The following is a 15,966-nucleotide window of genomic DNA, read 5'->3' on the forward strand; positions in this document are numbered from 1 at the left end:
AGACTGAGTTTAAGGTAAATGCAGTGGTTCTCAACCAAGGACAATTTTACACCTCCAGGGACATTTGATATGATCTGGAGACATTTTGTCGTTGGCACAACTAGGAAGGGCAGGAGGCTGCTGGCATCTTATGAGTGGAGGCCAGGGATGCCGCTAAACATCCCAAAACATGTGGGACAACCTTCACAACAAAGAATTATCCTGTCCAAAATGTGAAGAGTGTTGAGGTTGAGAAACCCTGAGCCAAAGTAACTGAGTTACTACTGTCGGCAGAAATGAGACTATGAGAAATGTTTTAAAAAGAAATTTACACTTTTGCACACCCAAATTCCTATAACTGAACACACACACACACACACAATAATACAAAGATGGAGGTTTGAAGAAAATGGGGGAGTGGAAGTTAAAATGGTAGTACACAGCCTAAGAAATGTCAAATTTTTTTTTAAGCTCACAACAGCACTTTTTTTTTTAGGCAAGGAGAAGTCTTGCTGAAAAGTTACAAGCAGTCAAAACGTGACTGTTAGTGGCACTATTTTGACCTTGTAGATTTTGCTTCTCCTTGGTCAAAAAAAGGGTATGCACACTACACTTTCCCCAGCTGGGCAAAAAAGAGGGCAGAGGAAACTGGAATAGACTTCTACTCTACTGACACTGCTCCTCAGACCCAACATCAAGCTAGAAAAGCCCTGGCTGCTCAGTCTAGTGGTTGTTGTTCCACCACTGAGTGACACAGGCCATGCTATATTTGCAAGAAAAAAATGAGCAGGAAAAACAAGTGTAGGTCACTGGGGATGAGCAGGCATCCACCCCTTCAAAACTCTGCATGGAAGAGGTAATCCTTATAAGAGGCACAGCTTACCAAGGCACAGACCCTCCAGTTCTTGTTGTAGCTGAATAAGATGGTAATATCCTGGCTGCTTGGTTCAAAGTCTGTGACTCAGCAGTGCATTCTGGTATCACAGACCTGGGGATCACCATCAAGTTCCTCTGCCTGGGGAACCGGATCCAAACCTGGATCGCCTGGCTATGATCACCTGGCTATGATTGCCTTGATCTTGGGATCCTCCAGGAGGGAAGGGTCCTCAGCCTTGGCCCAGAGGCTGTCAGGAGAGCCAAGGGGACTACAGGCAGTCACCATAATGCCTTTAGAGTGGCAGTACTGGATTAACTTCTGTGTGAGGCACAGGTGGCACTCCATTTGGTTAACTGCTGGCTTATACTTTAACCCAGGTTTGTTTAAGATCCTCTCAACCTGGAGATGGTTGAAGGTGGAGATGCCAGTAGCTTTCACCAGCCCTTCATCCACCAGCTCTTCATGGCCACCCGTGTGTCCACAATGTCAGTGTCACTGGGAACCATGTTGCCTGACTCATCCAATGGGAAGGATTCCTTCCCACGCTTAAAGCTGGCTGGCCAGTGAACAAGGTAGTAGTCCAGGTAGCCCTGCTTAAGGTCACTGAGCATCTTCTGACAGGCTCCTTTCACCAGGCCCTTCCCATGGTATGTGCACCAGAGTTTGCTGATGATGAAGAGCTCCTCACGCTTCACCATCTGCCCCCTGAGCTTCTCCTGAATGGCCACCCCTATCTCATTCTCATTCTCGTACCTGGGCTCAGTGGATGTGGCGGTACCTGATATCAATCGCCACCTTCACAGCCTTGGTCACCTGGCCTGGAGGGGACATTCAGATGCCCAGTCCCAGGATGGCCATCTTGGTGCCATTGTTGAGCATGAGGTGGCTGGCCATGGATGCAGTGCTTCCCAGACCCCTTCCCAGAAACATGCACAGAAACTTCAATATTTAAATATTAGGTAGGAAAAACCAGTAAAGAAAGACTTGGAAGAGGCCAGGTGTGGTGGCTCATGCCAGTAATCCCAGCACTTTGGGAGGATGAGGCGGACGGATCACAAGGTCAGGAGATCGAGACCATCCTGGCTAACACAGTGAAACCCCATTTTTACTAAAAATACAAAAAATTAGCTGGGCGTGGTGGTGGGTGCCTGTAGTCCCAGCTACTTGAGAGGCTGAGGCAGGAGAATGGCATGAACCCAGGAGGCGGAGCTTGCAGTGAGCTGAGATTGCACCACTGCACTCCAGCCTGAGCGACAGAGCGATACTCTATCTCAAAAAAAAAAAAAAAAAAAGAAAAAGAAAAAGACTTGGAGGAGGGACAGCAAGGTACAAAAGACACCAAGAGAGTGTATATTATCACAACAGCTAAGGAAAAAGGACAGACGAGCTCAAGAAGGACAGAGTAAACTGTGTAAAATGCCCTAAGAAGTCAAGATGATAAGCTAAATGTATAGATTAGTTGAATTCTGCTTCTTGTCTATTAGGGGAGGTGGGGAGGAATGGGATCCAGAGAACACATGAAAGGATTCACTTTAGATGGAAGAGATTCCTCCTCCACTGGAACAGGAGAGAAGAGAATAGGTGCTAATACAAGTAGGTTTATAAATTGTATTGCAATAAATTGTGAATTTCCCACTTAGGAAGCAAAAAATCATCTGCTGAAATTGAGAGGAAGAGAAGAGAAGCCAAAGAGTGTGGAAGGTTTGAAATGGCAATTATAGAGAGTGGTGGGCCAGTCAATTAAAGAAACTTGGTAGGATGCACGGGCAGCACGGAGTGCCCAGTTGAGGCTGGTGACTATGAAACTGTAGTGACAATGGGCACCTGTGTGTGATAGCGCCCCAGCACTTCTCAGCTGCTTGATGCAATCACAGAGATGACAAAATAGCTAGATTAGCCAACAGAGGGTTTGGTTAGGATCAGTGGTTATTTAACTGGGATTTGTGTCAGAATCACACTGGGAATTTTTTGGGAACACTCACACACATGCATGGACTATGTCCCTAAGATTCCAGGCTCCATAAACCTGATGGTTGGCCAGGACATTTGTGTTCTGAGGAAGTTTCCCAGTAATGTGCAGCAGCAGTTAGGAACCACTCATCAGTTCAGGTGCAACTAAAGAAGACTGACAAGGGAGTGAGCAAGAGTGATATTGGAACAATGGGCAGTAAAATCTAAGCCAAATTCAAGAGAAAGGTAAAGACACAGCGTCTCACAGGTAGGGTTAATGCAGAGATCAATAGGTAGGAGATCCCATAAAGTCAAATAACAGGACCTATATAGAAAGAGTGCTTATAGCAAGTCTTAGAAAGGGCAAATTTAGGCTGGGCACGGTGGCTTATGCCTGTAATCCCTGCGCTTTGGGAGGCCGAGGTGGGCAGATCACCTGAGGTCAGGAGTTCGAGACCAGCTTGGCCAACATGGTGAAACCCCGTCTCTACTAAAACTACAAAAATTAGCTCAGCATGGTGGCGGGTGTCTGTAATCCCAGCTACATGGGAGGCTGAGACAGGGGAATCCCTTGGACCCGGGAGGCGGAGGTTGCAATGAGCTGAAATTGTGCCACTACACTCCAGCCTGGGCAACAAGAACAAAACTCCATCTCAAGAAAAAAAAAAAGGCAAATTTAGAAGACATTTTTATTCTCATCATAACTTTTTATGGAGAAGAAAAAAATAACCTATAATCTCCCATAAAGCAGTGTTTTTGGGCCAAGCGTGGTGGCTCACACCTGTAATCCCAGCACTTTGGGAGGCCAAGGCGGGCAGATCACGAGGTCAGGAGATTGAGACCATCCTGGCTAACATGGTGAAACCCCGTCTTTACTAAAAACACAAAAAAATTTAGCCCGGGCGTGCTGGTGGGCGCCCGTAGTCCCAGCTACTAGGGAGGCCGAGGCAGGAGAATGGTGTGAATCCGGGAAGCGGAGCTTGCAGTGAGCAGAGATCATGCCCCTGCACTCCAGCCTGGGCAACAGAGCAGGACTCTGTCTCAAAAAAAAAAAAAAATACAAAAAATACAAAAACATTAGCCAGGCGTGGTGGCATGTGCCTGTAATCCCAGCTACTCGGGAGGCCAAGGCAGGAGAATTGCTTGAACCTGGGAAGCAGAGGTTGCAGTGAGCCGAGATCGTGTCACTGCACTCCAGCCTGGGCGACAGAGCAACACTCTCTCAAACAAACAAAAAAAAAAGGCAGTGTTTTCTTGTAAATGATGGCCCAGATATGCTTGCTATTTCTTTGGTACTAATTAACCACTGAAATTTCCGCAAATTGATTAGGTCATAGAATGCTGCCCATGGTGGTTATAAGCATTTCCCCCATTATTCACAGATGTCTGCCCACAGTGGACAAAGAATAAAAAGAGGAACACATTTTAAGTATGGAAAGAGAAAATCCATGATGAGAAAGGCTGTCCCTACACTGACAGCTGGAGCTCCTGGGGAACCTTTAATCACTTTACCTTAAGCCATGGTTTCTTGTCATCCAAACTGCAAGAGAGTAACACTAAATAAGAGACAGAGGTTGTGACATTCTTATACAATTCATACTTTGCCATTTTCCTGTAAATTTACTTTTATAATTCTCCTTATAGTAAATAAAGTTATCCCTAAAAAAGAACATTATTTTAGGATGGAGGCAATAAGAACACTTTGAATAATGAGATCCTTAGAAAATGAATTCGGAGAATTTTCACCTCTGGATAATAAATTATTTAGATAGATCATCTCTTTAAGACCAATGAATCTTTAAAGTTGTCTGCTTCTAATTTCAAGAATATTAGCTATGATCTGTGATATTCTCATCCCCCAGCAGCCCTTCTGCCCAACACTACCAGCAAGGAAGATTGCTTGCGCATTGGGTTCAGTGTCTAACTCCGCTGGCATAGTGGAGACTGAGCCTGTGCACTGGCCTGAGGGGCTGAACAAAGTCTGTGAAGAGAAGAGAACACCCTCTGAAAATTGGCCTCCTAGCCTGGCCTAAGGGTGACTTCGCCTGTCACACTCTATGGGGTTGGCCAATGGTGAAGTAGTCCCTCCTTGTAGCATTCCCTCAGGGACAAGTTTCTATATTAAAATCTAGTGGCTTCCCGAGCTTTGTTTTGTTTTGGTTTTTTTCCCAGGATTGGGTCCAAACTCAATGGCAGAGAAGACTCTTCAGGGTCCAGCCGCTGGCTCCATCTCTAGCCCCTCTCCTATCACTTTTCTCTCTCTCTCTGAAGCCTGCACACCAGCCACACCAAGTGACAGTATTTTGGGGTGATAACATGCTCTCATGACTGTGTTTTGTACATACGTCTTATACACAATCCCCTAAACCTCCCGGTTGGGAGACAGAGATTCTATTCCCAGCTTTGCCATCAACCATACAGGTGACCTCAGTTTCTCTGTCTATAAAATAAGGGGATTAGAGGCTTAATCATTGCTAAGTTGTGGCCTATGGTTCAAATCTGGCTCCATACAAGCTTAGACATGCATTGTGTGTGTGTGTGTGTGGGTGTATCACCCTCCAGTCCAGCCTAGTCCCCCACTTTCTCTCTTCTATACCTAGCAGTGTTACACATTTACATCAGTTTCTGGCCCTTAAAGGTACATTAATAGGCCAACAAGAGGCCAGATGCTCTCTAAGGTTTCTTCCATGTGAAATAAATTAACTCCAAAAACACAGGCTGAAGCAGATGGTAAATGTGCAAGAAATGCATAAAAGACCTCAGCGTCAGGTACTAGAGACCCTATCAAATAGTCCTGGACTGACACCAAGACCTTTATAAACAATCAGATTCCCTTGACTGATCCCATATGGCTAACGAATTTGCTTTCTTTTACCACGTGGCTTAGCAGGTATTAGCACCATCGCTCCCGGGATGGTCTGCTTTTCCACACAAAATCAAACTGATTTCTCCACAGAACACCTGTTCCTTTTGAAGCTGTAACCCAATGATCAATAATCTTTATTTTCCTTCCTGAATAATAATTTACAAAAGAGAAAACCGAGGTCCTACTATTTCTCATTTTAACACGGACTAGTATCTGCAAGTTTCTGTTGTAACAGAGGAAATCTGGAGCCCATTTCTCTCAACCACTTGAGTTTGACAGGATCATGAACCACTGGAATTCCAGTCCACCCTGGGGAAACATGTTGTTCAGACCTGTGATATATGCTCATCTACTCCCAACATCCATTTCCTTTGACATAAAGTATATGGCCTTTCCTCTGACCAAAGCCCACTTCTTCTTAAACTAGTTTGAACTTTTTTTGCACTAAACTGCATGCTGATCAGGTGTGGCAGAAACAAATAAATCATCCAATTTTCCCAAAGAGAAAAGGCTATGACGAATGCTAAAAGGCAGAGGGCTGGATCAGAGGGTCTCTTAAGACCCCTTCTAGCTCATCTGTTTTATAACTCTAAGTTCATTAAAAGATTGTGCCAAAACAGTGGATGCCTCATAGTAATTCATGAATAGAAATTATTACTGAAAAAGAAATGTAGGCCGAGCGCGGTGGCTTGTGCCTGTAATCCCAGCACTTTGGGAGGCCAAGGCAGGCAGATCATGAGGTCAAGAGATCGATACCATCCTGGCCAACATGGTGAAACCCCATGTCTACTAAAAATACAAAAATTAGCTGGGCATGATGGCACATGCCTGTAGTCCCAGCTACTCGGGAGGCTGAGGCAGGAGAGTCAATTGAACCCGGGAGGCGGAGCTTGCAGTGAGCCGAGATTGCACCACTGCACTCCAGCCTGGTGACAGAGCTCCATCTCAAAAAAAAAAAAAAAAAAAAAGAAAAGAAAAGAAAAAGAGGGCCAAGGGCGGTCATACCTGTAATCCCAGCACTTTGGGAGGCCAAGGTCAGGAGTTCAGGACCTGTCTGACCAACATGGAGAAACCCCATCTCTACTAAAAATACAAAAATTAGCCGGGTGTGGTGGCGTGTGCCTATAATCCCAGCTACTCAGGAGGCTGAGGCAGGAGAATCGCTTGAACCCAGGAGGTGAAGGTTGCAGTGAGCCAAGATCGCACCACTGTACCCCAGCCTGGGTGACAGAGACTGTCTCAGAAAAAAAAAAAAAAAAAAACGGAAGGAAAGAGAAAGAAGGAAAGAGAAAGGTAATTGTCTGTGAATACATTAATACACCTTCCTCTCCAAAAATGAAAACAGAAAATCACTGAGCATGTTCACGTGGAGACAACAAATTCTGGACATCAAAGGAAAGGTCAAAGTAACATGGGGCTAGAATATGCAGAGTGGTGCCCAGAGATTTGAGAATTATGTTCAGGTGATGATCTACAGCTCTGAAGACTCCAGACCTGAGATCTTCGGGATGATTTATGACTGCAGAGCTGTGTGCAAGAAATTTATTTGGAAGTGGAGCAAAGAAAGATGAGCTAGTGTCTCAATAAGTGCTTGTAATCCTGTGAGAAATAGCTAAGTCCTTTTAAAATTTATAACAAATATATGAACATTTCGGATCTTGATTACCTTTTGGAAATGAGTACATACTGTGACTGAAAAGATAGGGTGGGAATACATGCAACCAGAATCATGGTGGTTTTCAATTAATCTCATTCCTTTGACAATTTATCTTTTATTTCTGAAACTTATTTGGCTAGGCATTATATCAACTAAGAACTCTACAAGTTGACTATATGGTATAATCACAGAACTACATTCTAATAACTGTTCATCTGCACAGCAGTCAAAAGGGCTGCTTTGCATGCACGTGGCAAAAGAGATCAATATGAGAAAGAAGAAAAAACAACAAAAGGGAAAGAAGAGTGAATGGGAGGAAGGGAGGGAGGAAGGAAGGGAGGGAGGAAGCCAGGAAGAAAAAAAAGTTTTTTAAGTTAAGCAAATTATTAACTTATTCCATCTCCAAAGTTGAAAAAGATCAGACAGTTACTAAAATAAACAATTTCCCCCCCAAATCTATTTTGGTTCTTATTTTTTGAACTTTTTTCCTCTATTACTTCAGTAAGTTGTACCTTTTGTTTCTATAATTTAGTGGTTACCCGAGAAATATAATACCATACCCAGGCTTATGAAAGACTAAAGTGAATGAAAATCTTTACCATGTTCTCAAATGATACAAAGCTTAAATTGTGCTAAATTAATAAAACCTATGGAAAGAAAAGAGAGAAGGGAAGAAAATAAAGAAGGAAGAAAGGAAAGTGGGGGGAGGAGGATACAAGAATCGAGAGAGAAATTTTCTGAAAAGATGTTTTAAAGAATGGCCTTAAGAAGGCAGACATCAAAGTCCTACAGATAGGGTAGAATAAAATGTGAGCTCAAAAAGAGAAAGTGCTTTGCCCAACATCACACAGATAGGAACAGAGCCAGGACTTGAACAAAATCTAGTACCCTTTCCCATAATCTCATGCTGCTTCACTAGAGACTGCTACTCAGTGCATGTGGCTTCCAAAGAAGTCCCAAAGGCAGGCTGGGCACGGTGGCTCACACCTATAATCCCAGCACTTTGGGAGGCCGAGGCAGACAGATCACCTGAGATCGGGAGTTCGAGACCAGCCTGACCAACATGGAAAAACCCTGTCTCTACTAAAAATACAAAATTAGCTGGTCATGGTGGCACATGCCTGTAATCGCAGCTACTTGGGAGCCTGAGGCGGGAGAATAGCTTGAACCCAGGAGGTGGAGGTTGCAGTGAGCTGAGATCTCGCCATTGCACTCCAGCCTGGGCAACAAGAGCGAAACTCTATCTCAAAAACAAAACAAAAAAGAAGTCCCAAAGGCTACTGCTAAAACACCTTTGCAGGGTTTGCAATGTTTCCCGCCACCCTCACCTCCTCCCCACCCCCAAAAGAATGACAGCATTGGCAAATTGATCAAATAGATGTATTTGCAACCAAACAGAACTAAAACAGACTTTCATTCCTAAATAATAACCCTGGGGGAAAAGAGTCTACATGACTGATGGCCATTTGGAAAACTTAGTTTTTCTTTTCTGTATAAATAAACATCATTAAGTATTTGCATGGTACATCCAGCGCAAATCAAACATAGGTGATGCCAATGAGCCCTCTTAAAAATGCCTTTTTCTGCTTTACCCATCCTTCTCTATATAATCAGCTCTTTGGGAAATCCAAGTATACACTGGTATGGCATAACAAGCCACACCTTGGCCTTCCACTTCATTTCTTTTTCCCTAACATGAAATGGCTGCTATCAATTTTAACAGCTCTAAAATTTTTCTACCTGTGTTATTGCATTATGGTTGTACATTACAGTGAAATGTACATTACAGTGAAATGAAAAGGAGCTTTTGAAAAACGTCTGGATGAGTTTATGGATGTTGCTTCACGAGGATTTGAACTAATTTGGTCACGGGAGAAACTGTTTTAAGGTAATATGCAAAATATGTCTGTATTTTAACTATTAAATTTAAAAAATATTTGCAGCACATTTGTCTTGTAGTTTGGGTATATTTTTCCATTAAATGTACACAAGGAAATAGAGTAAATTAATCTTTTGAATTAAAAAAAAATTCATTTTGTTTCAAAATTGAGCCCCAAAAAAGATTCCAGAATCTGATTTATTAAAGTTTTAAGGGATTAGATACAGTTCTACTCAAAAATCAGGGGAAAAGTACCACAGTAATGAAATCACCTTGCATGAAATAAACTATATTACATAAAATTCTACCAATGAATAAGCATCAGGAAAAATATTACACAGTCAGTAGGGTCACAAGGCTGAGGGAAATAATGGTAAATTCAAATGTTTTATAGTTTGAGCTTAGTCACACTGGGATTCATGAAAAGTGCTAAGTAAAACAACTGAGCCCCCATGTCTGAGAGTCTAATAATAACTATTATAGTTGCCATTTACAAAGCACTTACTATGCTAAGTACCTTACACACATTATCCCATTTAATCTTCACAATAACTTATGAAGTGGGTAATATTTTTATTTCATTTTCATAGATGTCTAACTAAAGCTTAGAGAGATGGTCCACAGTTACTCAGATGATAAACAAAAAAACTCCTGCGTCAAACCATGTCTGACTCCAGAATATGAATTCTTCATTATTATACAATGTGAACTTTCTACTAAAGAAATCCATTGTTCATTCATTCAAACACTTCTGTTGATCAAACAGCCAGCAGAAGTTTTAACAAGTAATCAGATTTGTTTTTTATAAAGCTTTGCAGTGGAGTGAGGAATGGACGATGTAGAGGAAGAGATTGGTATCAGGGACACTGCTTAGGATGCTGCTGTAGCAGTCTGGGCAAAACGTGAGGAAAACCCCTACTTAGGCAGGGGCAGTGGAGATGCAGAAAAGGAACCAACCTTAAATATATTTTTATAATAATGTTAGTAAGTGTAGATGAGAAACTGCATAGTAAGAGGTGAGGGAAAAGGAGTTATTAAGGATGACCCTGTGTCTTCTAGCTTGGAGCCTGAGTGGTATCATTGACAGAAGGGAGAGTACAGGAAGACAAAAAGGCTGAGAACAAGCTCTGGAGGCCAGTGGAGACAATGAATTCAGTTTTGGTGCCTGGGGTCATTCAGTTATGTGTGCAGAGCTAATGATAGTCATAAGAGTCATTACCATGTGGATAGAGGTTAAAATCAAGGGAACAGGTGAAATCGCTCAGGGAGGGTTTATAGTGTTAGAAGAGAAAAAAAAAAAAAAAAAGTAGTAGCTGGAACCCTGTGGAACACCAGCATTTAAGGCCCGGGTGGAGAAAGAGGAGTAGGCAGGAGATTCACAGAGGCAGAGGACTGAGTGGTAGGAGAACTGGAGAGTGCTGTACTCAGGAAGCAAAGGGAGGCAGTTCAAGAAGGAAATGTACAGGGAAGCCAAGCAAAAGAGGATCCAATATAGCTCTTTGGATTTAGGCATTAAAAAGCCATTAGCACAGTAGAAATGGAACATTGGAAGTCAATGTCATCTCAGAGTCATCAGAGCCTGTTTGGGATTAGAAATAAACTACTTTTGTGCTGGAAGAAGGGTGTCAGAGTCTTACTATGGTTCTTAAAAAGTATAGGCCAGACAATTGGTGTTCCTACAAATTCAGAACTATGTGGTTAGCTGATTGCAGACACTGGCATTGCCTGATCTGCTTCCTTTTTAAATTTTAATTCAAAGTCTTAAAGTGAGACATCTTAGATAATAAATGCTTGATATCCCATAGTTGTTTTTATATAAGCCATAGGAGCATGTTATATACAAAGAATATATGTCCAGACACCTTGATTAATTTAGTACTCATATTATCTCAAGAGCTGCATCATTCAGAACTAGTCCTGACGGGACAGAAAACGTATTTTTGTTTATCAGCTAAAATGAAGCCATCACATGCCATGAAAGAGTATCAATGACCCACTGGGCCTGCCAGTTTTTAAATTATGTGATTTGTGATTAATGTTTAATTTGGGGATTCTCATGATCTAAAATTTTGTGCATTAAAGAAAAGTTTATTGTATACTGTACAATTTTAAATTGAAATAATTCAAATTCACATAAAACGCACCCATAGTGTTTAAATTCATGTTACTTTATTTGTTAAATGCCTAGAAAGGCTTTTTAAAAGTTAGTATTTTACAAATTTGACAGAGAACACATTTTTACTTTACTATATTACTTTAAAAACAAGGTTTTTTTGTTTTGGTTTGGTTTGTTTGTTTGTTTGTTTGTTTGTTTGATTTTTAGACAGAGTCTCACTGTTGTCAGCCGGGGCTGGAGTGCAATGGCGCAATCTCGGCTCACTGCAACCTCCGCCTCCCAGGTTCCAGCAATTCTCCTGCCTCAGCCTCCTAAGTAGCTGAGATTACAGGCACCCGCCACCATGCCTGGCTAACTTTTGTATTTTTTAGTAGAGACAGGGTTTTACCATGTTGGCCAGGCTGGTCTCCAACTCCTGACCTCAGATGATCCACCCGCCTAGACCTCCCAAAGTGCCGGGATTACAGGAGTGAGCCACTGAGCCTTGCCAAAAGCAAGTTTTATGCAAATGTAAGATGTATTAGTATTATCTTTAATCAAAATGTTGAAGTCACTTAATAACACCTTACTATTTGATATACTCTTCTAAGCTGATAGAGCTTGCAAGGCGTTTGTGTTAACTTTGAGCTAATCTTCACTTTGACAAAGCTGCCTAGCCCAATCCTGTGTTTTATGTGAAGGACATAAATTATGCTGTTTTACAGTTGAGACACTCGGTCTCTGAGAAAACTGAAAAGAACAACTTGAGTTATGGGCAAGTTAGAGATTAAATCAGACAAAGAATGGACAGATTTTTGTGCTTCCAGCTCTATTATTTCCTTCTTTGTTACACCACAAATAGGCTGCCTCTCTACCCATAACCAGCTCTACCAATTTGATGGAATTGAGTTGTTTATATATAAAAAGAAGTCCTCATTTTGTCATTTTCACTTGCAGCAACTAGTAAGATAACTATCTTACAAAATCTAGATCTAGAAGTATCTGTTACCTCAAAATTACATACGCCAATGATGTGTAATAGGTCAATATTAACATGTTAACAAAGTTAACATTGATGTTGACTGGAAATAAAATGGCCACATGAAGCAAGTCCAGATGCAAGCAATCTGTAGTCACACATAATAGGAGGGCTCTTTAAAGTTGGAAAGCCATTTAGTTTGAAGGCCTCAGAGGAGATGACTTCAACAACAGCAGTTGAAACAGAAGGAAAAAAAAACCTTTTCATTCACGTTCCAATTCTGCAAAGACTGAATTCTAACTGATTAGAGGGCATGTGACAGCCAAATGAGTTTGAACAATAGAACAGAGTGTGGTGGAGGGATTCAAGTTTGGGGCTAGAAAGCTGGAGTGTTGAATTTTCTTTAAGGCTTTGCCAATGACTTGCAGCCTGGCTTTACCCTAATTATTTATGCCCCCTCTTTCCCTCCAATGTTACAATCCCTTTGTCTATAGAAATCACAGGGAAAATTATTTGTAGCATGCTTTGTACAATGTATGCTGAGATAGCAAACTATGATAAAGAATTCTGTTCGTCCTAGCTGGAGATAAATGGACAGGCTAGACCACCCAAAGGTAACTTGGAACATTGGTAAATTTTTAACAAGTAATTATCTTCTTTCCCTTTTTTACATTTTATTGTGAAAAAATCGGAAAGTACAAAAAATAAAAATAGATAAAAATTCACCCATCATCCCTGTTGATATTTGGGATATGTCCCTTCAGTCTGTGGTGTGTGTGTGTGTGTGCGTGTGTGTGTGTCTGCATGTGCTTGTGACACTATTAATACATACACTCTTAAAGAGAAAAAGATGTGTTTAGTAAATTACAATCATACTCTACATTGTACTTTCTAGCTTGTATTTTTCACTTAATAGATAATATCAACTTTTTTAAAAAATAATCTTTGAGGACTTTTTGGTGGCTGCCATATTAATATGCTAATTGTACATAATATTATTTAATCAATCCCATCTTGTTAGATATTTAGGTTATTCTCAACTATTTGTTATTAAAAAAACAACGTGTATTAAATATCTTTAAATATGAATCTGTGTTTCTAATTGATTACATGATTAAGATAAGTTTTGGTTACTGAAATCACTGAATGAAAGGATATGAATATTCTAGGCTCTTAATATATATTACCTGATGGCTTTCCAGAAAGGTTATACCAAATTACACTTTAGTCAGTATTGTATGAGATTATACAATTCCCTAAACTTTCTCAAATAATGCTGCTTTCCCTTTTTTCATCTTTAATATTTGATAGGTGTTTTAAAGCATTTTTAAAAATTTATTTTATTATTAATGAGCAATCTTATTGAATTGGGAATTAGGATAAGTATATGTGAATTTTTCATTGAATCTCGTATTTTTCAAACTTGAAGACAAGATCTTTTATCTCATCAAAAGAGTGTCTTAGAAGAGCAAACTTCTGGCTTATACTTAAAGAAGAAAATAGAAACTGAAAGCCCCTGAGGATACTCAGATTTCTGCCAATGGTCTAGAACAGGGATGGCAAGTTTATGCAAATATATAATGCCTTTGTTCTCCCTCCTTTCCCTCCGTTAACTGGCAGACATCACTAATTTATCATGACACTTTTTTCGCAGTGAGCCTAGATGTACTCTCAGAATTCTTCCCCACACCACTACTGCTGATATGAGCTATTATCTCTCTTAGATGGCATTTAAGATGAAACCAATTTGCCTTCCTGGCCCAGAGAGCAACCTACATTTCCACAGGAAAAGATAAATGCAGGGAACAGTACAATGTTACGTGGCTGCTAGTCTCTTCCTCTGATCTATTTCTCTCCCAAATATACATCATAGAAATGCAGTATTAGCTACACATAAATTTTTCCCATTGTATATATTCCATTAATGTATACAATGTGCTTAGGAAAGTTCTCACTCCTTTTCCATGTCCTCCTTAATTTCTGAGATACTACTCCTTGAAGATACTCAATAAATTCCTGTGGCTATCTAACAATGTAATTGTCAGGATTCTATGCTCTTAGTAAGTCTAGTTCTCTTCAAAATCCATATAAATCCTTCCTCCAAAGTTTGCCCTCACTAGCCATCATTCAGTTATGTTTATTCTCCCTTCCAATCCCTTTCTATTTTAATGTCCCCTTTTAATGCTGTTGTTACCATTCCCTAAAAAGATACCATTTCATGGGATTTGGAATGGCCATGCCTGAGGCAAGTCCATTAAATAAGCATGCAAGAGTGTGAGTGCTGTGCAAAGCATCTTTAGAGAGAGATAAAATCATTCTTACATAGACTATCTATCTTAGAGAAATGGTGCTCTTTCATTTCGCTACAAAAGAAGTGAGCAGCTGGTAAATAGTAGGTAATAAAAGCTGCACTTTCAATGAACAATAGAAAAGACCAAGGTCAGAGGAACTGATGAGGAACAGCTAGTCAGCCTTTCTTATGACGGAGCTTAGCCTGGCTCCTAGTCTTTGCCTCTCTCTTCTTCCAGTAGCCTACCTTACCTACGACCAATCCTGAGCTTAGGCAAGAAGAATTTTAAGATGTTTCTGTTCCATTTGAAATTAGTTCATCTGGCTCTGACCTTGGGCATAACTGGTCATGAAACTTCCCATGTATTCAATGTCATTGGTGTACTTAACATTTTTGAGCATCCATTATGTGCCAGACACAGCAGTAAACAAGATAGATATAATGCCTGCTAGAGGCAATACAAGGGATAGTTTCGGGAGGCCTTAGATATACCATCATCTCCATTAGCCCCTTCCTCAACACAAATAAACTCCTAGTCCTTCTTTGTTTCTGTTTTTGTTTTCTGAGACAGCGTCTCACTTTGTCACCCAGGCTGGAGTGCAGTGGCACAAACACAGCTCACTGCAGCCTTGACCTCCCCTGCCCAAGCGATCCTCCTGCCTCAAACCCCCAAGTAGCCAGGACTACAGATGTGAGCCACCATGCCTGGCTAATTTTTGTCTTTTTTGTAGAGATGAGGTTTCACCATGTTGCCCAGTCTGGTTTTGAACTCCTGAGCTCAAGCAATCCACCTGCCTTGGGCTCCCAAAGTGCTGGAATTACAGGTGTGAGCTACCGTGCCTGGCCACTCCTAGCCCTTCTTTTCACTAGATTGTTACTCAAATTCTCTCCTGTAGAGGTATCGGAACTACCACTGGTCTGATTTTTGTACTCATGGAACTTAGATTTAGTGGGTCAAGCACCAACAAGTAAGCAGTCAGTGACAACCCAGTACTGCACAAGCTCTGACTATGGCATTACATGGTGCTGTGAATACTCAAGAAGGACATCAAATCCAAGTGTCACAGAAATGACATCCAAAATGAGGCCCATGGTGGTTAATTTTGTGCAACTCGATTAGGTTAAGCAATGCCCAGATAGCTGAAAACATTATTTCTAGGTGCACCTGTCAGGGTGTTTCTGGAAGAGATTAGAATTTGAATCAGTAGAGTGAGTAGAGAAGATCTGCCCTCATCCATGTGGGTGGATATCATCTAATCCACTGAAGGCCTGAAGAGAACAAGAAGGAAGTGGAAGAGTGAATTCTCTCTCTCTTTCTTGAGCTGAGGAATCCATCTTCTCCTGCCCTTGGACATTAGTTCTCCTGGTTCTCAGGCCTTTGGATTCCAGAACTT

The 15,966-nt window shown here is 41.2% G+C and overlaps 1 pseudogene; it reads right to left on the bottom strand.

Annotated features, from left to right (window-relative positions):
• AKR1B1P5 (aldo-keto reductase family 1 member B1 pseudogene 5) lies at nt 452-1,780 on the bottom strand (annotated as a pseudogene).

This window comes from Homo sapiens, chromosome 14, assembly GCF_000001405.40.
Source record: "Homo sapiens chromosome 14, GRCh38.p14 Primary Assembly".
Classification (NCBI taxonomy): domain Eukaryota; kingdom Metazoa; phylum Chordata; class Mammalia; order Primates; family Hominidae; genus Homo; species Homo sapiens.